At 50.9% G+C, this 27995-nt stretch overlaps 4 protein-coding genes, 1 long non-coding RNA gene and 1 other non-coding gene across 8 annotated transcripts in view, besides 5 other annotated features; 2 read left to right on the top strand and 4 right to left on the bottom strand.

The window, feature by feature from the left end:
- Positions 168 to 1861, top strand: SEBOX (SEBOX homeobox). Its single transcript, NM_001080837.4, has 3 exons — positions 168 to 246; positions 412 to 572; positions 719 to 1861. The coding sequence occupies exons 1-3, from the start codon at positions 216 to 218 to the stop codon at positions 1097 to 1099; spliced, it is 573 nt and encodes a 190-aa protein (NP_001074306.3). The 5' UTR covers positions 168 to 215; the 3' UTR covers positions 1100 to 1861.
- On the bottom strand, positions 1684 to 7720 carry VMA12 (vacuolar ATPase assembly factor VMA12). The gene is made up of 6 exons (NM_152464.3): positions 7486 to 7720; positions 6378 to 6451; positions 5963 to 6052; positions 4796 to 4838; positions 4520 to 4632; positions 1684 to 4210 (listed from the first exon to the last, which is right to left on the bottom strand). The coding sequence occupies exons 1-6, from the start codon at positions 7694 to 7696 to the stop codon at positions 4115 to 4117; spliced, it is 627 nt and encodes a 208-aa protein (NP_689677.1). The 5' UTR covers positions 7697 to 7720; the 3' UTR covers positions 1684 to 4114.
- Positions 4633 to 4713, bottom strand: MIR4723 (microRNA 4723). The gene has a single exon (NR_039875.2). It is a non-coding gene; the product is annotated as a microRNA 4723 (primary transcript).
- Positions 7463 to 7562: an enhancer, noted in NCBI's record as "active region_11924". NCBI's record gives its function as "activates an Ori minimal core promoter by ATAC-STARR-seq in GM12878 lymphoblastoid cells {active_cell/tissue: GM12878}" and the evidence as "EXISTENCE:reporter gene assay evidence [ECO:0000049][PMID:35858748]".
- Positions 7675 to 8440: an enhancer, noted in NCBI's record as "H3K27ac hESC enhancer chr17:26683953-26684715 (GRCh37/hg19 assembly coordinates)". NCBI's record gives its function as "activates a minimal SCP1, AML or CMV promoter by ChIP-STARR-seq in naive H9 embryonic stem cells {active_cell/tissue: H9 hESC(naive)}" and the evidence as "EXISTENCE:reporter gene assay evidence [ECO:0000049][PMID:30033119]".
- Positions 7753 to 8142: a silencer, noted in NCBI's record as "silent region_8336". NCBI's record gives its function as "represses an Ori minimal core promoter by ATAC-STARR-seq in GM12878 lymphoblastoid cells {active_cell/tissue: GM12878}" and the evidence as "EXISTENCE:reporter gene assay evidence [ECO:0000049][PMID:35858748]".
- On the top strand, positions 7840 to 18734 carry POLDIP2 (DNA polymerase delta interacting protein 2). 2 transcript variants are annotated; one of them, NM_001290145.2, is made up of 11 exons: positions 7840 to 8079; positions 9491 to 9572; positions 10836 to 10879; positions 11576 to 11672; positions 12051 to 12126; positions 12348 to 12455; positions 13567 to 13703; positions 14575 to 14601; positions 14804 to 14929; positions 16205 to 16284; positions 17136 to 18734. In NM_001290145.2, exons 1-11 carry the CDS (start codon positions 7919 to 7921, stop codon positions 17248 to 17250), a joined length of 1053 nt encoding a protein of 350 aa, NP_001277074.1. In that variant the 5' UTR covers positions 7840 to 7918; the 3' UTR covers positions 17251 to 18734. The 2 variants fall into 2 exon arrangements, with proteins under 2 accessions (NP_001277074.1, NP_056399.1); NM_015584.5 differs by having other exon boundaries at positions 10782 to 10879.
- Positions 15869 to 17137, bottom strand: LOC124903963 (uncharacterized). The gene is made up of 2 exons (XR_007065687.1): positions 17038 to 17137; positions 15869 to 16334 (listed from the first exon to the last, which is right to left on the bottom strand). It is a non-coding gene; the product is annotated as an uncharacterized LOC124903963 (long non-coding RNA).
- TNFAIP1 (TNF alpha induced protein 1) overlaps positions 18358 to 27995 on the bottom strand; it is an 11249-nt gene continuing 1611 nt past the window's right edge. The window contains exons 2-7 of one of the 2 annotated variants that reach the window (XM_017024993.3): positions 25641 to 25959; positions 24889 to 25058; positions 24041 to 24130; positions 23911 to 23963; positions 22803 to 23120; positions 18358 to 21003 (exon numbers count right to left, since the gene is read on the bottom strand). In XM_017024993.3, coding sequence (XP_016880482.1) covers positions 20664 to 21003; positions 22803 to 23120; positions 23911 to 23963; positions 24041 to 24130; positions 24889 to 25058; positions 25641 to 25845 — 1176 coding nt within the window. In that variant the 5' untranslated portion in view covers positions 25846 to 25959 and the 3' untranslated portion in view covers positions 18358 to 20663. The remainder of the gene's footprint in view (positions 21004 to 22802; positions 23121 to 23910; positions 23964 to 24040; positions 24131 to 24888; positions 25059 to 25640; positions 25960 to 27995) is intronic. The other variant, NM_021137.5, reaches the window with a different exon arrangement.
- Positions 19669 to 20172: an enhancer, noted in NCBI's record as "H3K4me1 hESC enhancer chr17:26672221-26672724 (GRCh37/hg19 assembly coordinates)". NCBI's record gives its function as "activates a minimal SCP1, AML or CMV promoter by ChIP-STARR-seq in primed H9 embryonic stem cells {active_cell/tissue: H9 hESC(primed)}" and the evidence as "EXISTENCE:reporter gene assay evidence [ECO:0000049][PMID:30033119]".
- Positions 20676 to 21179: an enhancer, noted in NCBI's record as "H3K4me1 hESC enhancer chr17:26671214-26671717 (GRCh37/hg19 assembly coordinates)". NCBI's record gives its function as "activates a minimal SCP1, AML or CMV promoter by ChIP-STARR-seq in naive H9 embryonic stem cells {active_cell/tissue: H9 hESC(naive)}" and the evidence as "EXISTENCE:reporter gene assay evidence [ECO:0000049][PMID:30033119]".

Raw genomic sequence — 27995 nt, 5'->3', positions numbered from 1 at the left:
CATACCCTCATAAGCCCAACCCGGCCTCCAGCCTCCCTTCTTCCCCACCGAGACTTCTCTGCCTTGCTTGAGCTGGACTCTAAACCTCTCCACTCCTGAAGGCGGGGCCAGCCACCCTGAGCATGATAAAACCCAAATGGGGGGGTCTGGTGTGGGCACAGCCCTGGCATGGCCCTCTGGCACGGCCCTCTGGCACCTTACCCTTTGCCAGCTCCATGCCCAGCCCTGTGGATGCATCCTCAGCAGGTGATCTGATGGGGGAAGTGTGGGCAGGGTGAGAACGCAGGCCATGGTAGGATGAGGACGGTTGGAGAGGGGTGGGAGTAGGGACTTCGGGGTTGATTGAGGGCTTTGAGGCTGGGTGGAGGCTCTTGCAGGGAGTCCCAGCTTGACCCCCACCATGGCCTGCAGACGGTGGCAGCGGGTTGGGTTCCCACCGGAGAAAGCGGACCACCTTCAGCAAAGGGCAGCTACTGGAGCTGGAGAGGGCGTTTGCAGCATGGCCCTACCCCAACATCAGCACCCATGAGCACCTGGCCTGGGTCACTTGCCTTCCTGAGGCCAAGGTACAGGTGAGCTGTGACCCCTTCTCACACAGCCAACATCTAGGCTTGGCCCACAGCCCCTTCGCTGGGTAGCCTGCCTTCAGGTTGTTTCCCCTGTCCCTGGGTGGAGGGGATGCTGGGGCCAGAACAGACCCCTTCTTCTTTCCTAGCAGGTGTGGTTCCAGAAGCGCTGGGCCAAAATAATCAAGAACAGGAAGTCAGGAATTCTAAGCCCTGGGTCTGAGTGCCCCCAGAGCTCCTGTTCTCTTCCAGACACCCTCCAGCAGCCCTGGGATCCCCAAATGCCAGGCCAACCTCCACCCTCCAGCGGCACACCTCAGCGCACCTCAGTGTGTCGACATAGCTCCTGTCCAGCTCCTGGCTTGAGTCCACGGCAGGGCTGGGAAGGGGCTAAAGCTGTAGCCCCATGGGGATCAGCTGGGGCTTCAGAGGTCCACCCTTCTTTAGAGCGAGCTACTCCCCAGACTTCACTAGGCAGCCTGTCTGACCTCATCTATGCCTTGGCCATTGTCGTCAATGTGGACCACTCCTAGTCTTTGTCCAGAACTTGCAAGGCCCCTCCTCTGACTCCTGTGGCCCACCCTGCCCCTCCTGGGATTGAACACATCAGAAGTGGATTCCCTGGCCCCACTTTTTATGCAAAGGGATTCCCTACGGGAAAGGAGTTTAGCTCAGGCATCCCTCCCTTCCACTGGCCTCCAGGCCAGCCTAGATGCAGGTCCTAAGCAGACTGGGGCCTGGCTCCTGCCACCCCACACCCTGACCCCTTTGGGGCATATGCTCATTGTTGTGGCAGGTGGTACCTTCAGAAGGATGAGATGAGGGTCATGTTTTCCTCCACTCTTGCCAGGCCTGGTCCCCAGTTCTCACCAGCTGATGGCCTCCTCCTTCTGAAGGGGCAGGCTCCTGTCTCCTGAGGTCTCTCCAGGCCATTACCTTGCTAACTGCTAAGTGAGGTAGGAGAGGAGAGTGCTGCTCCTCATCTAGACTGCTGGAGAGCCAACTTCTTTATGGGTCAGGGCCCCCTCTCTTGACCATCGACCACCTGGACAAATTAATCAGAACTACGGATGTGAAGAGGGAGTGGCATTAAAGTAATGAAGCAAAGATAGGAAGCTGGGGCTTATGTTGATTTAATTTTCACAAAGATCAGATTGGATGCCCTCTGATGTGGGGCTGTGGAGACAACCTGACAGATCTGGGATGGAGGCAGGTATAGCAGCATTGGGTTTTGGTATCACCATCACCTGTAATACCAACTAATCTCCAAATAAAACCCAAACTCTGTACCTTAATCTGGATTGTTGTGCTCTGCAAACGAACGGGGACGAGGGCCGTTTGCCATGGAAATTTATCTCCATCACCTAATCCCTAAATAGGGCCAGGTTCCACACAGATACCTCTTGGTGGGAGGTATTACCCAGGCTTCAGCTGGGATTAGAGGGATAGTTAATTGAAGGGTTTAGGACTCTGACTGACAAGACCCTGGGGAGATGAGAGCCTCTGCTAGCACCCCCAGCTCCTGGTCCCACTGAATCTAGGACATTCCAGTCACCTCCACCTCTGGAGCTGCTCTGCTTTGGAGAGAAAACCATGGTGTTTGCGGTCTGCACTGGATTCAAATCCTGACTTTGCGATGTAACTGTGGCAACTCTGGAACTCTATGTGACTAAAAAATGGGGATACTTATTTGCTCTCTGTTTGGGGTATAAGAAATAATGTAGGTAAAGGGCTTTACATGGTGTGTAACACATCGTAAAAACTCAGTAAACGCTAGTTCCCTCTCCAGACAGGCCCTAAGAAACTGGGAAGGCCCTAAACTTCTTGTTCTTCCCACCTCCTGCCAAGCAGTCCCTGGACCCAGAGTGCATTACAGAAAGCATGGCACAGTGAGGCAGGAGTGGCTAGCAGATGAGAGAGCTCCCTTCTATATGCTGAGAACTGGAGGATAGGGCATTTGGTTCTCCCCTCCCAGTGCCCCCTGCTTTTTCATTGAGACAAGGTCTCACTCTGTCATCCAGGCTAGAGTGCAATAGCATGATCTTGGCTTACTCAGCTTACTGCAACCTCTGCCTCCCAGGCTCAAGTGATCCTCCCACCTTAGCCTCCTGAGTAGCTGGGACTACAGGCGTGCGCTACCATGTCAGCTAATTTCTGCGTTTTTTTGTAGAGATGGGCTTTTGCCATGTTGCCCAGGCTGGTCTCAAACTCCTGAACTCAAGCATCCTCCCACCTTGGTCTCCCAAAGTGCTGGGATTACAGGCATGTACCACCACGCCTGGCTAATTTTTTTGTATTTTTAGTAAAGATGGGGTTTCGCTATATTGGCCATGCTGGTCTTAAACTCCCAACCTCAAGTGATCCGCCTGCCTCAGCCTCCCAAAATGCTACGATTACAGGTGTGAGCCACCTCACCTGGCCCAGTGTAGCTTTTTAACACAAATTTTATATAGCTCAGGTTACTGGAAACACTGTAAAATGCCACCTACTTTTTCTTTTCACAGCTGACACTTCTCCCAACTAACAGAAACTGGCAAACATTGTAGAGGAAGTGTCCACTGAGTGAATGAGTATATAATTTATGAAAACAGAAAAGTGCTTTGGAAAAAAAAAAAAAGACAACAGGAGTACATACAGTGAACCAAAAAGAGTGTACCAGGAGGAGCAGACCCTGAACAGTTAGAACTATGGAAATCGCTATGCTTTGTGTTGTCACAGGAGTTAAAATAGGAATACCCTGCATACAATAAATATTTATTGGATAAATAACTAAGCCTGATACCCTTTTCAATGCGTTATACAGACTCTATCATCACACCACTAATCTAAGTTCTCAGAAGTTAAACATTACAAGACTTCAGAACAACATAGGCGTCTTTGGCTCCATTTAACAGAAGAAGGACCATAGTGATCATTTAATCTCTATGAGTCTGTCTTATCTTCTGGAAAAGGGGCCTAACACCATTTCCTTTTGCAAAAAGGTAGCTGCCTTGCTTCCAGTTCTACCATCCTCTAGCAACCCATCTTTCTCTTATTTGATGTCTCTGATCAGCTCCTCTTCCAGCACAAACTGGAGAAAGGGGATCCTTTCTGTTTTCTTGGAGGCTTCTGAACTCAATTACAGGTCTGCATTAAAAATGTATGGAGAAAGCTGGTGATCAGTTTGTACATATGGACAAGTTCAAGGCAGTATGGTCTACTTCTGGGAAGGCCTGGATTCCATTTGCTCCTGATGGAAAAACCCTAGTCCCAGCAGTGTTTAGAATGAACTGGAGAAGGCAGATGGGTACCAGATTCAGGAAGAGGTACTGATAGACCAAGACCAGTTCTTTCTGTTTTAAAGATGTGTTATCTCAATCTCCTCCAATGCTCCCTTTGGAAATTCACAGAAGATTAGGGCTCCCCACAGAAACAGCAGCTGGCCTGGGCTGGTCTTCTGACTAACTGGAGCTGAATACAAAAAGTCTGATGGGTTGACTGAGTCGGTGACTGCCAATTGGAGCCTGAAGCCCCCAAAGTCTTCTCTAGACTTGATGATGAAGCACCAGTTACAGTTCTCCCAGCTCGCCTTCCATTGCCCGCACCATGACATACAGCTCGGCCAGACCCACCACAGAGGCGACGATCAATGCAGCTAGCACCCGCTGGAGATGGGGAGAACCAGGCTTAAGGGATGCAGGCCAACAACCAGCTCTGTACCCCAGCAACTTTAATGAGGATGGAGAGCCCCCCAACCACCCTCTAAGTTGGGGGAGGGGAAGAAAAGAGAATGTGGCTTCTCCTGGGGTTATTACCTAACCTCCCGTGACTGCTGGAAAGCTCTAATGCTCCCCTTATTAATGGCATAAATATCTGTTCAATACCTAACCTGTGCAAGGCACTTTCACATACGTCCTCCCTTACCCACTAACACCCCCACCAGGGGCACCCTGCCCTGCCCAGTGCCTACTCACCGAGGCCATTTCTGTGAAGATATATTGGCTTCCAAGGTAAGTGCAGACGAAGGCAGCAACCACCGTGACAATGAAATTGAAGATGGTGATGACCAGAGCCTTCAATGATCTCACTTTGGGGAGGAGCCAGAGAGGGCACCTTTAGTTCAACATTCTCTAGGAGGTGCTCTTATCTCATGGCTCCCCCACCAACTGGGTTTCAGTCAAACAACAAGCCTGAGTGTCATGACCCATCTCAGGAAAAGGTTTTAGAAGCCTGATCTCCTAGTACCTCACCTTGCTTTCCCAGGTCGCTGAGAGTCCCACCATGTCTTGTATCCTGGGAAAAAGAAAAAGAAGATGATTCAGAATAGAAGCAGCTCAGAGAGCATCCATTGACAGTCTGGCTCAGCCCTCTCTATTCCCCAACATATTAACTCTGCCCTCCCCATGGATTCTTTTGTCTGGAACCATTTTGACTCTTTTCTGGACTACAGAGCAGGCATTTCGGAGAGAGGACATAGGCTGCCAGTACCCATCTACTCTCCTGTTCCAGGGTAGGAGCATGCCATAGAGTAGTAGGGAGCCCTGTCAGAAGAAATGCTCGAATGGCTGGGCACAGTGGCTCACCTTGTAATCCCAGCACTTTGGGAGGCCGAGGCAGGAGGATCACCTTGAGGCTGGGAGTTCAAGACCAGCCTGGCCAACGTGGTCTCTACTAAAAATACAAAAAATTAGCCTGGCGTGGTGGTGCATGCCTGTAATCCCAGCTACTTGGGAGGCTGAGGCATAAGAATCACTTAAACCTGGAAGGCGGAGGCCGCAGTGAGCAGAGATCCTGCCACTGCCCTCCAGCCTGGGTGACAGAGTGAGACTCCATCTCAAAAAAAAAAAAGAAGAAGAAAAAAAGCCTCCAAGATTCATTCCCACTTATTTATTTATTTATTTATTTATTTTGAGATGGAGTCTTGCTCTTGTTGCTCAGGCTGGAGTGCAATGGTGCAGTGTTGGCTCACAGCAGCCTCTGCCTCCGCCTCCTGGGTTCAAGTGATTCTCCTGCCTCAGCCTCTCGAGTAGCTGGGATTACAGGTGCCCGCCACCACGCCAGGCTAAGTTTTGTATTTTTTGTAAAGACGGGGTTTCACCATGTTGGCCAGGCTGGTCACGAACTCCCGACCTCAAGTGATCCACCTACCTCAGCCTCCCAAAGTGCTAGGATTACAGGCATGAGCGCCGTGCCCGGCTAACTCCCACTTCTATGACGTTTAAAACTTGGTCACCATCTCAGCCCAGAGTCTCAGTGAATGAGATGGGAACTGTGTTGTTTGTATGCAGACTTCCTATGGTCCCTGAACAGTATAGAAACCAAGTTTCCATGTTTTTTCTAAACTCTGTATCTTCTTCCACTGCAGGGCCCTACTCTGAGGGGCTACCTAGACCACGTACTGAAGAGCATGTCCTTACCTGACAAGTGACGTTGCGGGTGATCCGTTTATATTCCTCATTGGCCAGCTGTATCTTAATCTTCTCCAGCCGGGCAACTAGTTCTGGGTTCTGAAGCAGAAAAATCAAATGAGAAGAATGATATTCCCAGCTTGTTAGAAAGCACATCACAATCATTGGTTCCAGGGGTAAAGCACTGCTAAAGGTATCAGGAGACCCACATACTAGTCGTAACTCCAGTGCTTTGAAACTGTTTTTTTTTTTTTTGATCTCAATTTTCCAAACAGCTGATGGGGAGGACAATATCTGGCTCCCCCAGATCCCAAAGATTTCAAAAACAATTTTTCAAGCCTAAAAGTTGATTTATAAGTTCAGTGTATCATGGATAAGCCCAACTCAGTCAATAACCACTCTCACAAACATATCCCTTACATACCCGTGGAGGCTTCACAACCTCTGGGAGATAGATTTCACTGCCTTCTAGGAGCTCATGGAGGTATAGTTTGGAATCTGAGAAGAAAAGGTTTCACAAACACAATGATCCACGAGCTGAGGTTGAAGGGTTAAGATCAAGAGGGGTGTAGCCCTTCTTTCTACCAAAATAAAACAGGGCCATCTCTACATTAATCCATTTCCAGGATCATTTTCAATTGAAAAGAATTTTGGATAATTCCATGTAGGTATCTCCCAGTGCTGCGCAGGTGACTTTAGCTGTCAGCTCTCAATTATCCTGCCAGTGTTATAACTAACAAGTAAGCCATTTACTTGTGCCTTTGGGTTAGATCAGTTCTGTGGCCACAACAGCTCTTCCCTAAATAAGTTTAGGTCATAGTGATGCTAAATGCTCAGAGGACACTAATACTAGGCAATCTCTTTCTAAGGTCCTTTCTAGTTCTAATAATTGAGCAGTCTACCCTTTGCACTTCTGGCTGGTCTATGTTACTTCTGGCAAAATACCTTATGTGCTAGTTTGTCCTGTTCCTTCCCTTTACACATAAGGGAACTGAGGCCCAGCGAGGAGAAATGACTCCTTCAAAGGATTAGTGACAGAGCTAGGACTGGAACTCACATGCTACTCTCAGGCCAGATCTTTCAACACAGCTTTTGCCATCCTATATTAAAAAAACAAACAAACAAAACAAAGTATCAGATTTCACCACTCTTGCTTTTGAGGTGGAAAGAAATCCGGATTCCTACAAGCTCACTATGCTAAGCTGATTCCTAAAGTGGAGAAAAAGAAGAGACAAAACCTGTGATATTTGTATTTGGTAAAAACCTAGACTTTCTCAAGGGTGAATTGGGCCTAGGTGTGCCTGGAAGTGAAGAGGGGGCTCTCAAAAGAGCAGAAACTGCACAAGCAAATTTGTCATCCACGAGAAATTCCCATGGGAGTTAAGAAAGTGGGTGGCCCTGGGATTTATGGAGTGACTCTTGACTTGTCTAGATGAGTGCTCCGTAGAAGAAGGGGAATGATGGGAAAAGACCTCAGGAGGGAATCGATCTGGACACAAGGAGGGGACCCCGGACTGGAGACTGGGGCTCACCCCTTTCTCTCAGATGCTGGTGCAGATCCCGGATGAGACGGAAAGAAACCAAGCGTTGGGGGCCACTGGAGCTATCACCGCCCTTGTGCTTCTTCCCCAGCGCGGCCTCAAGCTCGGCCCGCAGCTTTCGGGGTAGCCGCTCTGGCTCCAGCTCCCCGCCGGGGCCCAAAGCACGCACCAATCGCTCGCCCGCAAGCAAAGAGGACGCCATATCTAGCCGGCTCTCCGGTCAGGTGACCCCAACCCGGACTTCCGCCCGCCGCGCGCCGGAAGTAACGCTAAGCGCACCGGAAGTTGCTCTGAGCTCCGGGGTGGGACCAGGCGGGCCAAGAGGGCCGGGACGCCGCGCGGGGCAGTGTGGGACTGGGGCGGAACGCCGCCCGGCCGCGGGTCGGGCTCTGTGTCAGCAGCCGGGCGGGCGCTCGGGCGGGACATGGCAGCCTGTACAGCCCGGCGGGCCCTGGCCGTGGGCAGCCGCTGGTGGTCCCGGTCGCTGACTGGGGCCCGGTGGCCAAGGCCGCTCTGTGCGGCGGCCGGAGCTGGAGCCTTCTCGCCAGCGTCGACCACGACGACGCGGAGGCACCTCTCGTCCCGGTGAGGGACGGAGCCAGGGGGCGCGAGGAACTGGGCCTGGAGCCCAGAGAGCGTGTTCCTAGCCAGTGCGGAGGCCAGGGGCCCGGGCCTGCTGAGGGTGACTGGAGTTTGACCCGGGAGAGGGTCCCGAGCAGGGAGCCGACCTGCGCTGTCTGGGACATGTGCCAGGAGCAGGGAAGCCAGCGCGGCCCAGAGCCCTGGTTGTACAGGGCTGGCCCTGGGGGGGAACAGGTTACCCTCCCCAAGTGAATCCTACTTCCCCGGCTGGGGTCCCCAGCACCGATGTCAGAGGGAAGCTTTTTAATTCAGCCCTAGGGCATTGGCTTGAACCCTCAGCCTTTGGATTTGGTGAAGGTCTGCCTCAGAAAGATGCTAGAGGTGGGAAACGAGACTCTTGGGTGTGGACCCTCGTAGGCCCCAGGTTTCCAAGTGACTTTGGGGAGATCGATTTTCTATCTGTGACTTGGGGAAGGGGGTTTGAGGCCATGGGGATGGTGTGGAAACTGTTTCCACGGATGGGACAGGCGGATCAAATGGGCTGGTGGATCAGTGGGAGGAAGCATAAAGTTCACATCTTCAAAACAGTAAAAACAGCCTTTATTTGAAGGGCCCCTAGAAAGAGCAGCCCTGTTCAGAGTGGTGACTGACATTTTAGTGGCTGATATTAGACACTGAACATTGGGGAGAGATGATAGCTATTTGCAATTTAAGACCCCTGTGAGAATATGAACAAAAACGGTATTGAGAGAGCGATGTGCCGTAGGAAATCTAGAGATGTTTAAGCTTTTCAAGGGCAATGTAAGGGCTACAGGTTAGAGGGGGAGATGGACATGGAATTATAATACAGGACAAATATTTTTTGAGCACCTCTTGTACACTAGGCTCTGAGGGGGCAGTACCAGCTAATCAGACTCAGGCATTGCTCCCAGGGAATTTACAGTATTTAATAAAGATAAGACATGGACACAACTGAAATGTAAAGGGAGCAGGATATTGTTTGATGACTTGTGATATAGAAAATGTAAGAAAAGAAGAAAAAAAGATACTCCCCTTCTAAAAAAATTGAAAAAGTGAGCAAGACAGTTAAAGTGCTGTGGGAGGTCAGGAGGGTGGGTTAGGGAAGAAACAAGGGCAGGGGTACATTTGAGCAGAGTGTGAGGGCATGATATGAAGAATGCCCAGTGAAGAGAGAAGACAGTAGTATGGGAGCGGTCACATCTAACACTGGGAGACTGTGGAGGTTTTCACCAAGGAGGAGGAAAGCCTTTCCTGCTCCAGCTGGTCCCACTACCCCAAACCCTTCTCTGCTGTCATCGCCCTGGCCCCTCAGTATCCTAGGAGCTTTTTCTTATGGATAACTACCATTACCTTCTCAGCTTTTCTGTTGCTTGTTCTTTTCCTTCCTACTCAGAAACCGACCAGAGGGCAAAGTGTTGGAGACAGTTGGTGTGTTTGAGGTGCCAAAACAGAATGGAAAATATGAGACCGGGCAGGTGAGTATTGGGCTGGGTCATCTTTCATTTTCATAGAGTGCTCTGCTTCTGAAAAAAGTCAGATTAGGTCACAGGCCTGCATGGTATGGTGTTCCATTCATTCCACCTTGATGTTTGGTGCCATTCCAGAATCAAATTTGTATTCATTTTTTATTTTATTTATTTATTTTATTTATTTATTTTTTGTGAGACGGAGTTTCAGTCTTGTTGCCCAGGCTGGAGTGCAATGGCATGGTCTCGGCTCACTGCAAGCTCCACCTCCTGGGTTTAAGCAGTTCTCCTACCTCAGCCTCCCTAGTAGCTGGGATTACAAGCATGCGCCACCACACTTGGCTAATTTTGTACTTTTAGTGGAGATGCGGTTTCTCCATGTTGGTCAGGCTGGTCTCGAGCTCCCGACCTCAGGTGATCCACCTGCCTTGGCCTCCCAAAGTCCTGGGATTACTGGCGTGAGCCACCGCACCCAGCCCAGAATCAAATTTTTATAGATAGGGTTTCTGTTCTCCTGGATTTGAATGCACTTAATGTGTCAGTGGGTTCTCTTTCCAAGTTAATGTGGACAGGGATGGTGTGGACTATAGTGAGGTTTAGCCAAGTTGCTGAAGATTTCTCTAACATAGTGGATGGTGGGAAGCCGTGGAGGGAGCTTTCAGAAAAGTATACCTTTGATGCTTTGCCGTAATAAAATTGACTTCAGTGTGGTAAACTCTGGATGTGTGGTTCTTTTTCTATATCAGCTTTGTTCTGGGTCCACTGGGATAGATTTAGGCCCTTCTAGGATATTGTAGGTAAGGAAGACTTTTTGTTTGTTCAACATTTTATTTTTCTGTGTGCCTACAATGGACTAGGCATTGTGCATTAGGGTTAAATCAGAAAGCAAAGTAGACATGATTCCTGCTATTGTGGAGTTTCTAGTCTAGAAAAGAACGATTTGCAAATGGCCAATAGCTGTACATTGTGCTAAGTGGAAGGGAGGTCAGGGAAGGCTTCCTGGAGGCCTAAGCTTTTACCTAAAGGATGAGTAGAGTCAGCCAGGTAAAGAAGAAATAAGAGTGTTCCAGCATTGGTCTGGTTGATCACAGACTTCAAGGGAAGAGGTAGCAAGACCTTGTGCTGGAGTTGCCTCCACCTGTGTTGCTTTGTGGTCTGGGGCCCACCTGGATGGATTTGCTGGACTGCAGACTCACTGAGGCCCCTCTTTCCTTCCAGCTTTTCCTTCATAGCATTTTTGGCTACCGAGGTGTCGTCCTGTTTCCCTGGCAGGCCAGACTGTATGACCGGGATGTGGCTTCTGCAGCTCCAGAAAAGTAAGTTTCCCTGTGGTTGTGCCTCACAGTATCCTCAGGAGGAGATGGCAGACATATGTAATTGGGGTACTAGGGGTGAAGACAGCGTCCTCCTAGGCCTTGGAAACATCCCCAGAGTACTTCTCTGGGACTAAGACCCATGGAGACAAAAGTGCTGAGTGCCAGGGATAGTCTAAGTCAGAGAGTCCCTTTAGGCCTCCTCAGAATGCTTTCCTAAGCCATTCCTAATTTTCATTATGAGTATCCCAGAGGGCATTTGGGGGACAAGTCTTCTTGATTTCTTGATGTTCAGCTGGAGTCTTTCCCTCAATCTCACATCATCCCTAGAATACATTAAAACAGAAAAGGTTCAGCCCCATTAAGTGATCACAGACAGTCCCTGGGATATAAGAAGACAAGAGTACTCTGGGCCCTGGGGACTGAGGTGGCAATTTGATTTTCTCAACATGGCCCCCTTCTTTTAAGAGGTATCCACACGGTCAGATGATGGCTCCATACCATGGTCTTCCATGCTCTATTATTTGCCCCAACTGAGGAGCAGCTGAGCTGAGGTGCTGCAGAGCAGGTGTCCAGCTGGTGCTAAAGCCCCTTTAGATCAGAGACCAGCCTGTTTAGGTGAGGAGGAGTAGGGAGCTGAGTCAGCCACAGCTTCCATTTCTCCTGGGGTGATCTTGGCCTCCTTCTCCCACCCCATAGAGCAGAGAACCCTGCTGGCCATGGCTCCAAGGAGGTGAAAGGCAAAACTCACACTTACTATCAGGTGCTGATTGATGCTCGTGACTGCCCACATATAGTAAGTAAGCAAGATGGCTGGGCTTGGGGGTCCTCTCCATGGAAAGTCCTGCATCCCAATGGGGACAAAGGGAGGGAAGGGGGTCAAACAGAGCCCAGGTCAGTCTTGGTCCCCAAGGCCTTGGACTGCACAGTGGCCAACAAAGCCCTGATTCACGTCTTTTTTTTTTTTTTTGATATGGAGTCTCACTCTGTCGCCAGGCTGGAGTGCAGTGGTGAGATCTCAGCTCACTGCAACCTCTGCCTCCCGGGTTCAAGTGATTCTCCTGCCTCAGCCACCCGAGTAGCTGGGATTACAGGCATCTGCCACCACACCAGCCTAATTTTTGTACTTTTTAGCAGAGACATGGTTTCACCACTGATTCACTTCTTGCCTTAGTCTCAGAGATCTCAGACAGAAGCTGTGACCTTCTTGGCTAACCATGATGACAGTCGGGCCCTCTATGCCATCCCAGGTGAGTAGTTAGCATTTGAATGGTGCCCGTCAAGAAGGAGTCTGGTGTGTCTCAGGGAGAGGATTCTGATGTCCTGTCATCCACTGGGAGGGATTATGATGCTGAGAGGTATGATATCAGGGTTATCCCATACTGGAACAAGGCCAGTTAATGTTTCTTCTCAACCCCATCTCTCTCCTCTCCTGTGAGTTTCACCACTGTCTTTTGCATCTCTGTGCCAGGCTTGGACTATGTCAGCCATGAAGACATCCTCCCCTACACCTCCACTGATCAGGTTCCCATCCAACATGAACTCTTTGAAAGATTTCTTCTGTATGACCAGACAAAAGGTAATCTCTCTCAAGAAGGGGAGGTGGAATGGGAGGGCCTTTTCATCAAAGAATATCATAGAAATAATTCCAGGGCCGGGCACGGTGGCTCACGCCTGTAATCCCAGCACTTTGGGAGGCCCAGGCAGGTGGATCATCTGAGGTCAGGAGTTCAAGACTGGCCTGGCCAACCTGGTGAAACCCTGTCTCTACTAAAAATACAAAAATTAGCTGGGCGTGGTGGTGGGCGCCTGTAATCCCAGCTACCTGGGAGGCTGAGGCAGGAGAATCACTTGAACCCAGGAGGGTGGAGGTTGCAGTGAGCCGAGATTGCACCATTGCATTCCAGCCTGGGCAACAGAGCGAGACTCCATCTCAGGAAAAAAAAAAAAAAAGGCCCGGGTGCTTGTGGCTCACGCCTATAACTCCAGCACTTTGGGAGGCTGACACGGGCAGATCACTAGGTCAAGAGATCAAGACCATCGTGGCCAATGTGGTGAAACCCTGTTTCTACTAAAAATATAAAAATTAGCTGGGTGTGGTGGCGTGCACCTGTAGTCTCAGCTACTTGGGAGGCTGAGGCTGAAGAATTGCTTGAACCCGGGAGGCACAGGTTGTAGTGAGCTGAGATCATGCCACCGCACTCCATCCCGGCAACAGATCAAGACTCCGTCTCCAAAAAAAAAAAAAAAAAAGAAATAATTCCAACGCTCTATTTCCACAACCCTTTTCAACCTCCTGTTAGAGCTGTCATGCCTCATAGGTGTCATACCTGACAGATGACAGATGGCAGTTATTTCCTTACAGATATGGAAACTGAGGATCAGGGATGATGACAAGGGACTCAAGGTTGCTAGTAGCAGAGTGAGGGCTGAAAACCAGGGCTCTTAACTGCCAGTCCGATTGTTTTCCCATTGTATCACACTAGCTCCTCAGGGCTTATTCTTGGTAGCAGTCCTGTGCCTTCTTCCAGCCTGAACTTTTGCTTCATGTATGAGCACCTTGTTTGCCTGGGCCACCACTAGGGAGGGTTTTCTAGGAGGGGCAATCGCACTGGACTATTGTGTGATTGGACTAGATACAATTGTATCCACAACACACAATTGGACTAACCAATTGTATCTTGCCCCAGCACCTCCTTTTGTGGCTCGGGAGACGCTAAGGGCCTGGCAAGAGAAGAATCACCCCTGGCTGGAGCTCTCCGATGTTCATCGGGAAACAACTGAGAACATACGTGTCACTGTCATCCCCTTCTACATGGGCATGAGGGTATGTGGCCAGCCTGGACCCCTTCTAGCAGGGGTAGGCCCCAAGGTGTATGGTGTCCTTAAGGTGACTGCCGGGGGAAGGGAGTCTAAATATAAACCATGTCCCTGTGGTTCTGCTTCCAAGTGGTGGCATGTGTTGGGTGGGGTTGAGTAGCCTCTAGACAGTGGCTGACACCAAGACCTAGAGCGGGCAGGAAAACTCATAGGTCCCAGGAAGGAATCCTTTATCCTGTCTCTTCCCTCTTGCTCAAAGGGAGCCATGTTTATGAAGAATATACACATAATTATTTAAAGCAGTGTAGGCATAACACTTTTTACACATTATAGACACTTACACATCGCCTGGCTGTAAGCATGTGCAGTGGTAGGGGCCGCCCAACTCCACAGACAGAAGCTATAGGTCAGAAAAGTACGTATAGTCAGTGCATGCTTGGATACAAATATAAATGAAACACCGTCCCTGTCTTCCAGGACCTTATAGTAGTGGAGGAGGCCAACTTAAAGTATTATAGCAAGGGACAGTAATGGGAGACAGGAGGAGGACAGGGGCTCAGGGCAGCAAGGATAGGGGGCAGGGCTGGTGAGGAGGGCAGTGAAAAAGGTAAGAGCCCTGTAACTGATTTCTGTTGGCATCCAGCTCTGTTGGTGATCTTGAAGGGATGAGGAGTGGGGAGGCCAGGAGTGGATACAGGGATGTTGCCTCCCTGTGGGTGTGTAGGCCATGGTTCAGCTATCACCCTTATCCCACAGATACTCTCAGCTTGGTCTGTCTGCAACCTTCCTGGAATACATCAACTGCACTGGAGAGATGTTGATTGGAACACACTTGGTCTTGCCCTGTGGGACTTAAATTCTTTTTGTTTTCTCCCTAGGAAGCCCAGAATTCCCACGTGTACTGGGTGAGTGTCACTGTCTGGGAGAAGGGGAGCTTGTGGGGTGTGCCTGGGGGTCAGGGTGGAGGTGGGGGAGCCCACCTTCTGACGAGAGCGGAACCTGTGCAGTGCATGTGTCAGCTTTGTTGACTTTTGCTTTGCACAGAATTCTGAGGAGGGTTACCCAAATTTTATTTTTTTTAAACTCTCTCTCCCACACCCACCTCAGTGGCGCTACTGTATCCGTTTGGAGAACCTTGACAGTGATGTGGTACAGCTCCGGGAGCGGCACTGGAGGATATTCAGTCTCTCTGGCACCTTGGAGACAGTGCGAGGCCGAGGGGTAGTGGGCAGGGTGAGCATCCTTGGTCTAGTAATTCTGGTCCTGTGTGGCAAGCCTGGGGGCTTAGCGCATGGCTTCCTTCTCCTTTGTTGTTATAGACAGAGGCTCACTTTGTGAATACATTGTGTTGTTTTGGGTTAGAAATCTTAAAACAACTACATGAGATATGTTTCTTGAAACCCATTTCATAGATGAAAAGAGTGAGACTGAGAAGTTAAATAACCAGCCCATGGTCCCATAGCTAGTAGTGGCAGGGCCTCAATTTAAACCCAAGTGAGTCTGAAGTCAAAACTTGTGTAGTTTTTAAAACTGGTATAGTGTCTTTTAAAAACTAAAATTTGAATGTCGTTAGGTGGGGCACACACCCCCACCAATCCCTGTGGTCTTGCCTCTTTGCCCCTTTACATGTTTACATCCTCTGCTGGTCCTTGAAGAGATCTGATTTTATAATCCCTGCCTACCCAACCCTGTCTCCTGAGAAATAAAGTCACAAGCAGTACTGGTGTCAGGGGCCACATTCAACAAGCATTTATCAAAGTCAGCGAGGACTGGGGAGGCAGTTGGGCAAGTGAATAAGAACAAGGCTTTGGATTTAGGTAGTCACTTCAAATTCCAGCTGAGTTATATATTAGCATAACTTTCGGCAAGTTATTTAACCAAAATCTTAGTTCCTTACTCCTAAAATGTGGATCACACCAGTTATCTTATGATCATTAGGAGAATTAAAGCAGCAGAGGTTTGCAGAGTACCTGCCGTGGTCCCCGCCAGCATGTGTGAATGGACACTGGAGGGGATATCTCCACAGGAGGTCCTTTGTTTTTAGAGACAGGGTCTCGCTGTGTCACCCAGGCTGGAGTGCAGTGGTGCGACCATAGTTTACTTTTCTGGGCTCAAGCAATCCTCCGCCTCAGCTTTCTGAGTAGCAGGACTACAGGCACACACCACTATGCCTGGTTAGTTTAAATTTTTTTTTTTTTTTTTTTTTTTTTTGTGGAGATGGGGTCTCACTGTGTTCCCCGGGCTGCAGAGGAGGTCCTTTGCCCAGTGCCTTCGGACATTCAGTCTGAGATTATCTTTCCCAGAGCCAGCATAAAAGGCCCAGCCAAATGGCCATCTATGGGAGGAGGTACTGGCAGGAAGTGTATCATGCTATGGGAGTGCCTGCTGTGGTGGTGGCTGGGTAGGGGACATCCAGTCTTGATGAACTGGCAGTCAGCATGTAACCCTGGGGTGCAGGAAACATGTCCCTGGGGCTTGGCCTGACCCATTTTGCCTAAACCTTTACAGGAACCAGTGTTATCCAAGGAGCAGCCTGCGTTCCAGTATAGCAGCCACGTCTCGCTGCAGGCTTCCAGTGGGCACATGTGGTGAGTGAGTGTGCACAGCAGTAGGGGCCACCCAGCTCCACAAACAGAAGCTGTAGGTCAGAAAAGTGAGAGCTTAGAGCTTGCCATTAACTCTGGGCCAAGTTACATTCTTAGAGGGAGCCTTATCTGCTATATTGTTGTGTGGGACTTGTCTGATTTTCTATTACCGCCTGTTTCCCAGTACCCTGTGATTTGTGGACTGAGGACTTAGGCTAAAGAGGTCTGGTGATTTGATGCTGCAGAATTGCTTGTATAGTTGGGTTTTTTCCCTTGGTGTTTCACTCCTTTACCTGAAAATGCAGTTGGCTAGCTTATGCAGTATGTATCTAAAGGCCAGAATCTGGACAGCTGTGTTTTCCTTTTTTCTTTTGTGAGATGGAGTTTCACTTATTGCCCAGGCTGGAGTGCAATGGCACAATCTTGGCTCACTGCAACCTCCGCCTCCCAGGTTCAAGCCATTCTCTTGCCTCAGCCTCCCGAGTAGCTGGGATTACAGGCATGCGCCACCACGCCCGGCTAATTTTGTATTTTTAGTGGAGACGGGGTTTCTCCATGTTGGTCAGGCTGGTCTCAAACTCCCCACCTCAGGTGACCTCAGGTGATCTGCTGGCATCAGCCTCCCAAAATGCTGGGATTTCAGGCGTGAGCCACTGCAGCTGTGTTTTTCTTTTCATGGATAACCATGAGGGGCTCTTGGGTCTCTGGACCAGTCATCCTGTCATGAGCTAGAGATAGAAGAGAGCTCAGGCTCACATGTCCTCTGTGGCTGGCAGCTGAGGGCATGGGGCCATCCAGATCCTTAGGAGGCCTCAGCCCTGGCTCCTTCTAAACCAGCTTCTTTCTGACTGTAGGGGCACGTTCCGCTTTGAAAGACCTGATGGCTCCCACTTTGATGTTCGGATTCCTCCCTTCTCCCTGGAAAGCAATAAAGATGAGAAGACACCACCCTCAGGCCTTCACTGGTAGGCCAGCTGAGGCCCCAAGTGCCCAGGCTTGGTCACCGGGAAGAACAACTCTCATCCCACAATTGCTGCAGAACTCTTCTCTCCCCATCATGGGCCACAGTGGGTCTCTTAATTTGATTGTGGGGTTCTTTTTGTGGGGAGGGGTGGTATAACTTTTCTTCAGAAGACCCATGTGGGACACCTCCAAGGCTGGCCTCCTCATAAGCCCTGCCTACACCATGTTCCAGTAAACCTCTCCACCAAGGAACTGTGTTCAGCTGCCACAGGCCTGGAGGAGTTTCCTGGCCTGTCACGTGAGGTTTGATCAGTAAACCAGTGCACGCTTGGCCACCCTTGCCATTTCTGCTCCCAGAGTCTCAGGCTCCCCTTCTGACCCAGTGTGCGCCCTTGACTGCTTTCTTTGCTGCCCTTCCAGGGAGCTGCCCCCCTGGTAGGGCATGTGCCTGTTTCCCTCTCAGCCTGGAGGCTGGCTGGACATCTCCTAGGGTCACTGTGCCTCTCAGCTAGTTGGCGGGGGTGCTGGACTGGACTCTTGTTCACTTTACCTTCTGCCAAATGCAGAGAGGGAGGCCAGTGTCAGGGTCGGAGTGGCCTGGCTCTTAGCACTGACCGACCATTGCCATTTCTGGCCTCGCTAGGCCCAGGAGAGGAGGGAGGCAAGCCAGTCGGGTTTCCTGGAGCAATGGGTGTGCCAGCCCTCAGCATGACTCTGCCAAGCATCCAGACCACAAATGCAGGAATTTGGCTGAGGAGCAGCTTTAGGTATGGATTGATGACTAAGTCAAGCTACTTCCTGAGCTTCTCTCAGATTTCCAAGAGCCAGAGATGAATTGTGCTGCATCTTGCCCCAATTCTTAGGATTTCTTTTCCTCCGCCACTGCAGTGATTGTTAGAGGTAGTTTTCTTGAATTAATATTAAATCACAGTTCCAGCCCTTGTTATTCTTGTCCTTAGTCCTCCAGGGGGAGCTGGGGTTGCAGGGCAACAGTACAGTCGCGCTTACGACCTGGCTAGAACACAAGGTCAGATGATAAACAGAAGCACAGGAACTCAGCCCATGGCCGCAAGCTGGTCAAGGCCTGCTCACTGTAAACATGGCTCTGTACCATTGAGTTTAACACAATTTTATTAGAAATTAGTGTTTGCTTCCATCACTTATGCTGAGCAACCAAATATTACAGTTATGTGATAAAGGAAAAATTCTTTCCTGCCCAGGACCTGCGCCATCCTTTAGGCCGACCTTGGTCACATACCAAATTCAATAAAACCCAATACTGGCCTGTGTTGTTAACAGCAGGCTGCCAGGTTTCTCAGAAACTGACAAGAAAATCTGACCTTCATCCATACTTTGTTTACTTACCCCTGGGCTGCTTGGAGTTGAAAAATGCACACAGCCAAGAGTTGCTTTCTGAATAGGGCTGGAAACTTTCAAAGAAAACCCCCAAACTTTTAAGTCACAAAGTCTGATTAAAGAAGCTAAGATCATGTCAGTGAGTTCAATGTTAGTATTTTCCTTAAGACCAAGGAGAGATTTTCAGTCAGAGAAGATAAATGCCCAGTCCCAGACTACTGTGCTTTCTCGGCAAAAAAGACTGAGACACTGAGGATGTGAATGTCAAAGTAGTAAGCAGGGACTAAAGGGGATGGGGAGGTCAAAAGGCAAGCATCACAACACCTCAGTGGGGAGCTGGGAATTTGAGTGTTAAAGGACCTCAAGAGGGCAGCTGAGAAAATAGGCCAGTGGTCTCAGGCTGACGCATTCCAGTCTCTGTGGGAAAGTCATAAAGCCAAAGCCTGAATTTGGCCAAAGAAGTGGATTTGTCTTTATCTTGTTACCTCAATGAGGGCTGGAAGAACTAGTAGCTGATCACCAAGGTACCTGACCTGAGAGTCTTAGTGCTGTTTATACATTCAAGACTGTGACTAACATAAAATGCCTAATTAGAAAGTCACATTTCCCCTGTCCCGCCGTCATGTCACTTCAGGTCCTTGTGTCTAACCCTGGGTCTGGCATTTGCCCATAGGCTCTGTGGCATCAGCTATCATAAGAGTAGTCAAGAGAGATGAACTTGATAACCTGTGTTCTCTCCAAAGAGCAGAAAGTGGGTACTATACGTGGCTACGTTGCTTTGTTAGGCTGGCAGAACAGTCCCTCCCTGACAGCATTCCTTTGGAAAATAATTCAGATAAGCTGAATTCTGGTTTGGCCAAGCCAAACAAAAAGGAATGAAAACCAAAGCCCTAAAGAGGAACTCACCTCCTGGCTAGTGCTTGGCATCTCCATGGCTGAGTTACCCAACAAGGAGTGAAGGCCTTCAGGGTGCTTCGGTTGCTCCTGTCATCCCGCGCTCAGAGACACCACTGGGCAGAACCGCCATCCCAGCCAGCACCAACCAAGAGCATAGATGGTGTGGGCAGGGAGTAGATGTGTGGCCAAGCATGTGCCACCTCTGTAGGGGCTGCTGGGAGTTTGCTGTCCTCAGCTGATGGGCATGCCAGCCAACACCATGCAGTGCCCACGGGCTCCACGGTCTTCCTGCCGTGGCTCATGTTTCTGGCCCATGTGACAGCTCTTTGGCTTTACCGTATGTGAGGACAGCATGGCTGGAAGCCAAGGGTACTCAAGAGAATCACAAAGAGCAGTCGTGCTAGACCTAGGAGTCAGTGATGTGACTATGATGTGGGGGTAAAATGTCCTTTCTCACAGGCACCCTGTGAGGACTGCCGGTCCCAGCTTAGCCATCCTTCCCTCCTCGGTGCACTCTGAGCTGCTGGCCAGGCTGCAAAGCCAGAGCTGCTCTGTCGGATGTTTTTTTTTTATTGCTTCCTCTTTATCCCCTCCCTCAGATTGATTCTGCAGGGAAGTGGGGATTAGGGTAGAAAGACATGGGTCAAGGAGATTATCAACCTCCTGAATAACAGTACAAAGTGCTTTAAAGAAACAGATCCCACAGGCATGGAGAAGGGCCAAGGGTTCTGTCATATGTAGGGTCTTGGCACCCTGGAGGGCAAAAGAAATGCTCAGTTTCCTCATTACTAGATTTAGAATTATTCATTTCCTAGATTATTTTTTAAAAACCAAACTTATCAAGCCTGTGCTTAAACACCTTAGGAAAAAAGACGTCCCACTTTCTGCACCAGGGCCTCTACAGCACCAGAACTGCCTTTCCCCCAGCTGAGGCCTAAGGGGCAGTAGCCTTCTGCACAGGGCCTAGGGGAAGGTTCTCAGCAGGAGGTGGGTCAGTCCATATGCCCCAGGGAGCAGAAGCAGCTCCGTCGGGCAGGAAGGGTGATGGTGAGCAGATAGGACAGGACGCAGTCTCCAGAAGTGCTCAGGGGCAAGGCAGGGGAATGTGGTCCCTCCTCTGCCCAGACCCTCTGACCTCTGAGCAGGGCCTGTCATGCCTCTGGGTGCTAGAGCAGAGACCCAGGCAGCAGCAGCATGGGGTGGCCAATGGGGCGGGTTCCACAGGATGGGAGATAGGGCCTCCCGTGCCCTGACTCCCTGAGGGTCTGGTCAGTCGCGATGGGTAGACTGGTGGCCGAGCTGCCGGTCATCGTAAGTGCTGTAGCGCTTGACGTGGATGCGGCGGACACGGTCCCGCAGTTCAAAGGTCTCCTCATCTTCACTGGGGGAAGCCTGGCTGCGGCTACGGCTTGTGGCCTCCAACAAGGAGTTGTCGGGGACGCGGGGAGTCTCATAGAGTAGGACGTTGAGTGTCTCCTCATAGATTCGGGCCTCTGGGAATTCCACCTGGGGTTAGGGAGGAAGAAGGTGGAGCAAGGTTTCATCTTCAAGAGGAAGCCATGCGTCAGAGCGGCTGGCCCTGAGGCTCCATAAGGCCTCCGCTACCTCTCATAAAACAGGTGGCGGTCCGTCTCCAGGGAAAGCCAGCCTCCCTCCGAAGGCGGGGTGAGGGGATGTACTCTACAGACATGAGGACAGGGAAGACCAACATCCTCCACACCCCTGCCCCAGCCTGAGACCAAGGGACTAGTGGGCATAGAGGGTGGGCCAGAGCTAGGTCCCAACACAGCTCTACCACTTGCTAGCTGTGGAGCCTTGGGCTGAACCCTTCTGGGCTGCAGCTCCCATATGTACAAAAGGTTGGTTCAGCTCAACCCCTGAGAGTTGCTGTCAACATTACGGGAAAGATGTGATTGCTTAGCAGAAGATTGGCACACAGCAAACCACCAAGCAGAGGCATACACAGAGCAGCTGCTATGCTGAGTGGTTATGCTGCCTTTCTCTGCCTGCCTGACGCAGTGTGTCACCGGCATGACCTGCCTGGAGGAAGGAGAAAGGGAAGGCAGTCAAGCACCTGAATTCTAGCCAGACCTGCTCTGTTGGACTGAGCTTCTGTTCACTCATCTGTCACATGGGGAGAGTGGCTCTAGCCCTGCGTGTCTCACAGGCATGTTGTGAGGGGTCACACGAGTTCATGAAAGACAACACACTTAAGAAGATGCCAGGTGCGCTGCCACTTCCGTCGCAGCATCACCAGCCACTGGAGACCTGCCCCTGAACCCTTTCACCACCGATAGGGTCAGGAACCACCTGTCGCCCTCCCTCCCACCCCTACACCAAAAACCGCAGAAGGAAGCAGGGCCACCTGTAAGTTGGCCTTCCCCAAACCCTCTGCAGATCTCCCAGCTGGAGGCACCTGGAGTAGTTTGGGGGTCGACAAGTTGCTTGGCAAGTCTGGCTACTTTGAGCTCTTCACACCCACATGGCCCTTCCTGGATGACCTGCCATCCACCCCAGCGTATCATCTCCAGGACCTGCACTCACAGGAGGCAGCTACTCTCTGGGGTAACTGACTGCAGCCTGGGGGAGAGGGGCCACCTGAGTTTGTGATGACTGTCACCTATCAAATGCCTCCTGTGTACCTGGCACTAAGTTGATTAGCCAGAAACCCCCAGCTGGTTGGGGCCAGTAAGGAGATTTTATTTTATTATTATTAAAAGTGTTTGGAAGTGGAATCTTGCTATTTTGCTTAGGCTGGCCTCAAACTCCTGGGCTCAAGGGATCTTCCCACAGCAGCCTCCTGAGTACTTGGGACTACAGGCATGTGCCACGATGCCTGGCTAATTTTTCTATTTTTTGTAAAGACGGGGTTTCACCATGTTGTCCAGGGTGGTCTTGAACTCCTGGGCTCAAGTGCTGTGCCCACCTGTGTCCCTGGCTCAGACAGGAGATCTGAACAGCATTCTAACACGAAAGCCCAAGCTGTTTCTACACCACACTGCTGCTCCAAAGAGTTGTATCATTTTCATATCTCGTTAAATTCATACTATCATCCCCATGTCTGCAAATGAGGAACCTGAGGCCCAGATGGCTTAAGTGGCTTATCCAAAGTCAGAAAACTGGCAAGTGGTGTGAGCCAGCGTTCAAACCTGAATTGGGCCAACTTCAAAGACCCAGTCCTTCCCACTGTACTAGGCTACTTCCTGGTGGTCAACGGCCCCTGCCCTGCGCTGTCAGGAACAAAGCAGTTCCCGTCCATTCCCCACACCCCTTGTTCTGGCCTTGTCCTTGCCCAGCACCATTACCGTGTTTGGAAAAAAGAGCCAAGTCCATGCCCCTTTTGCTCCGTGCTGGTCACAGCCCGACCACGTCCCCCGCACAGTGGGTGTGTGTCCTCCCCTACCCAGGCAGGGGCAATCCCCCACACCTTGGTCTGCTTCTTCTCCGTGGCATACACGATGGAGGTACAGCACACCTCTGCCAGCTTACGGCCCTGGCCATAAAAGGACCAGCAGCAGATCTCGTCACCAATGACATCCTTGATGAAGAGCACGCGGCCGTTGAAGCGCAGGGAGAGCTTGTCAAACAGCTCGATGTTTTTCAGCAGGTGGTCGTCAGAGTTGCTGAAAAAAACATGAGGGCCAAGCGGCTGGGAGTGAGGTTCCAGTCCAAGGGAGGGTGCTAGACAAGTGGGGCCCTCCCCTCCCTCCCTTCCCCCATCCTGTCCTGCCGAAATGAAAGCAAGATGCCAGGGGGCCAGGAGAGAAAGGATCATAGGGTACCCTCTGGGTTGGGGGGCCTGTGAGGAAAAGGAACTCAGTTGGTTTTAAGTCAAAGTAGGGACAGCTGAGGAAGGAGGTCTCCCCTCACTAACCCTGGAAGGAAGGAGACAAGGCTGCTATGTCAGTGGGAGGCATTCCTTCCCTTACTGTGGGGGTGACAGTGGCAATATGCCTGGCCACAGGGAATCATAGGGAGGGTTTGGGACTCTGAACCTGCAGCCACCTGCGTCTACCTAACTGTGGCCTATGGAGAGGACATGGCCTGGAGGGTGTGGGGAGGGAATCGGCCCAGTGTGAACTGCACAGGCTGGCTTGGGGGACTCCCAGCTCACCGGCCTCCTAGCATCCCCTCCACCCGGTAGGATGACACGTGTGAAAACACCTGCCATGCTGCCTTCGTGATACACGTTGAGGGCGCATTTCACCTTCAATCATTTATATCCCAGCCAGGGCACCCTGCTGAGTTCCAAAGGCCTCTGTCCCAATTTCCCTTCTACTTTCTGTTTTTCCCCAACTTGGCACAGCCAGTTCCAAGACCCAGGCCCAGACCCACGCCGACCGTGCTGGGAGTACAGGCAGTACTCCTTGGGTCTGCTGCCCAGTGTCTGTTGAGCCCTGTGACGCACCCTACCTGGTGTAGGAATACTTGTTGTTGCTTCTGTTGTACAGCAGCTTCACCACGGGCTGTGAAGGAGTTCAGAGTGAGGGGCCAGGCCAGGGGACTGGCATCCCCGGCCCGCACCCCTCAGAGGTCCTGGTACCTTGGTGGAGGATTCGATGAGCCGCTCCTCCTCCTTTAGGGATGTGATGATGGGGATGTTGCACACAGGCTGGTAGGAGTCCTTCTTGTCCTGTGCGACACAGAACAGAGAACCCTCTTTAGGATCTTCTGCTTCCCAGGCTTATCGAGGTATACCTCTGGAGCCCCTCTGCCATGGCCACCCGCTGCTTGGTGAGGAAGTGTCAGATACAGATCATGAGGCCCCTGACAATAGAAACTGCCAGCTGGAAAGCAGACCCCCAGTTAGAAAACCCAAGATCCAGGCCGGGTGCGGTAGCTCACACCTGCAATCCCAGCACTTTGGGAGGCTGAGGCAGGCAGATCACTTGAGCCCAGCAGTTCGAGACTAGCCTGGAAAACATGGTGAAACCTCATCTCTACAAAAAATACAAAGATTAGCTGGGTGCCATGGCGCATGCTGGCATTCCCAGCTACTCTGAAGGCCAAATCACGAGAATCACTTGAACCCAGGAGGCAGAAGTTGCAGTGAGCTGACATCGCACCACTGCACTCCAGCCTGGGTGACAGGAGTGAAACCCTGTCTCAAAAAACAAAAACAAAAACAGAAACAAAAGCAAAAACAGAAAAACCCCCTAAAATCCGGGTAGCAAAGCATAGAAACCAGAAGCAGGGCCTACTCACGCTGCCAAGTGTGAACACCTGGCTGCCAGGTTGGTGGGCCTGGGTGGCATCTCACTTGTCTCATTAGGTTTGCACTCATCAACCACGCCTCCCACACAACCTGCCAGGAACCAGAGTCCTCCATCCCACAAGAAGGGGGCAACTCCTGACCTCATCTGCCCGCCCTGCTCCGCCCCACCCATGTACCTGCAGGGCACTCTGGCACATATTCACCAGCCCCTGGATGAGGTAATACTTTGCTTCAGCCATCAATTCCTTGATTTCTTGCCGGTTCTGAGGGAGGGTGATGGTGTCATCTCGGAGGTAATTCAAAATGGTGCCAAAGTGCTTTCCACAACGGTCTATGAGGATCCAGCCTAGGGGTGCAGAAGGCCCTACAGGGTTAGTTTGCCGCCAGGTACCTCCGAGGCAGGCAAAGGCCACCTGACAAGCTGGCGGCAGGTGGCAGGGAAGGGGGTCCACGAGCACAAAGCCCTTACGCAGGGTGACAGAGGCGGGGATGGAGGTTCTAGCACTCAGGCCCATGGCTGCTCTTCACCCTTCCTCTCTGAAACCCAGAACTGGCACATCCCACGGGGGATACAGCCCTCCAGGCTGTAGAAGCCACAGGGGCCTAGGCTCAGGGTACCAGGCCCAGCCCAACACAGAAACCACCAGCCACTGCCGGCCTTCTGCCCGCTGCCCAGTCTTAAGGTGACGGCTCCTATGAGAATCTTGTCCTATTTAAATATTTTAAAAGTATGGCTCTTCTTCCTGGAAAATGCATAAACACAGCATTCCATATACAATTTCACAGAATTCTGAAGCTCTACTAGGGACTCCAGGTGAAGACACCCTACATAAAGTGAAGAGGAAAAGTGACTGAATTCTAGATCTGGTCATTTCCTTGGGAACTCCTCCTGCCCTCCCCACCCCGAGCGGCAGCCCCAGTGCCTCACCTTCTTTGTCGGTCAGCACCTCCATGCGCCCACTGAACATGGCCTTGAGCATGGTGTCGTGGCGGGTCAGGGCCCGCACAGTGGTGTAGTACAGAGAGCCGCCCACGTTGAGCTGGACATACTTGTTGCCCAACCCTCCTCCCTTGAAGCCACTGAGCTTGGGCTTGGCCCCTGAGGCTGGGCACAGGCAGGTGTCCCCCGACATCTCCCGCTGCAGGTAGATCACCACACGGCAGGAGGTAGGCTTGGAAGGCTCCGCCGTGGTGGAAAGGGTCACGAGTGAGTGGCCAGTGGAGGCCAGAGCCTCATAATCTCAGTGCTGTACATGGGAGAGGGAAGAGAAGACACGAACCAGCTGAGACAGCCCAGGAGGAGACAATAGCAGAAACACGACCGTACTCATTCTCTCCCTGACAAGCCCAAGCACTGCTCCCTGGCAGAGGCTAAGTCCCTGCCATTTTGCTTTCTTTTTTTTTTTTTTTTTTCTTAGAGACAGGGTCTCACTCTGTCACCCAGGCTGGAGTGCAGTGGTGCCATCTCGGCTCACTGCAGCCTTTGCCTCCCAGGCTCAAGTGATCCTCCCACCTCAGCCTCCTGAGTAGCTGGGACCACAGGTGCACACCACCACACCCAGCTAATTTTTTTTTTTTTTTTTTTTGGTAGAGACAGGGTTTTACCATGCTGCCCAGGCTGGTCTCGAATTCCTGAGCGCAGGCGATCCGCCCACCTCAGTCTCCCAAAGTGCTGGGATTATAAGTATGAATCACCGCGTCTGGCCTCCCTGCCATTTTTACTATAGCAGGAACCAGGGCTGGAGGCAGTCTCCCAGACTCCTGCCCTGGTCACCTCATCAGCCTCCCTGAGACTCAGCTCCACTCAGGGCAGCGAGGAAGACAAGCAAACCCATGGAACCAGTTAGAGAGGGCCAGAGGAACAGATCACCCTAGAGATCTACCAGTCAGATTCCAGTTACTTTCTTGTCAAGGTTCCCAGGATCCCAGACTTCCAACCAAACCTACTGGGAATCCAGCCAGTCTAGGAGTTTCCCAGGAGCCAGAGGGACAGGATGCACTTCCTTTCTAAAGATTCCAGCCTCCAGAGCAGTCTGTGCCAGTGTTTATTTTGAGCACCACCGAGAGTCTGGCTTCAGGAAGGAAAGTAAAAGCAGCTTCAGGAGAGAATGCAGTAAGCCAGGGTCGGGGGTGCCGGCCAGTGTTCTTGGTGCAGGTTACCTGGGCTTCGGCTGGGGCTTCCTGACCTTCCCCTTTCTTGGCACCAGCCTTGTCCCAAGTTCCTGAAATTGTCACCATTTTTCAGGGAAGAACAGCTATAGGATGGCTGTTTTCCTTTCTTTTTCCTGAGAGGGAGCCCAGCCCTACTCTCCTCTTCCCTCCCAATAAGAATGGGAGAAGAAAGGACTAGAAAAGATCAGAGGATAAATCTAAAAACAATGAGGTGAGATGTGTGCTGCCACCTGCCTGTACTCCTGGCTACTCAGTAGGCCGAGGTGGGAGGATCTCTTGAGCCCAGGAGTCAAGACCAGCCTTGGCAACATAGCAAGACCCCATCTCTTGGCATTTAATATGTACTAGCTCATTTAACTCATTCAGCAATTAAACTACTGAGTGCCTACTATGTTAAGCAGTAGGGAACAATGAAAAAATATTGTCTTTGCCTTCAAACAGTTCAAAGAAGCATCATAACAGGAATTTTTAAAAAGAGAGAAAGCTAGCATTTATTGTACCCCTACGTGCCAGGCATTGGGTACTCAGAAGAGAACACATATAGAAAGTCATGTCCACATGGAGCTTACATTCTAGTGGAAGGAAACAGACTAGCAACAAGGACTTAAATAAATAAGCAGATAATTCCAGAACCTGATAAATGCAATAAAGATAATAAAACAGTGATATGAGAGTGATTAGGGAGAGGCACTAATTTAGACAAAGGGACAGGAAAAGCATCTTTGGGATGGTGACATTTCAGCTGAGGTTTGAAGAGAGCATTGTAGACAGATGGAAGAGTAAGTGCAAAGTTCCTGTTAGAAACAAGTTTTAGGGGGCGGGTGTGGTGGCTCACACCTGTAATCCTAGCACTTTAGGAGGCCGAAGTGGGTGGATTGCTTGAGCCCAGGAGTTCAAGACCAGTCTGGGCAACATAGTGAGAGTTTGTTTCTACAAATAAAAAAAAATTAGCCAGATATGGTGGCTCATGCCTGTGGTCCCAGCTGCTCGGGAGGCTGAGGTGGGATGACTGCTTGAGCCTGGGAAAGTCAGCCTGGGTGACATAGGGAAATCTCATCTCAACAATGACAAAATTAAAACAAGTTTGAGGATCAGAAATACGGTCATAATG

Source organism: Homo sapiens, chromosome 17 (assembly GCF_000001405.40).
Source record: "Homo sapiens chromosome 17, GRCh38.p14 Primary Assembly".
NCBI lineage: Eukaryota > Metazoa > Chordata > Mammalia > Primates > Hominidae > Homo > Homo sapiens.
The sequence above is the reverse complement of the archived record's forward strand: the minus strand, read 5'-3'. Positions and strand labels throughout refer to the sequence as shown.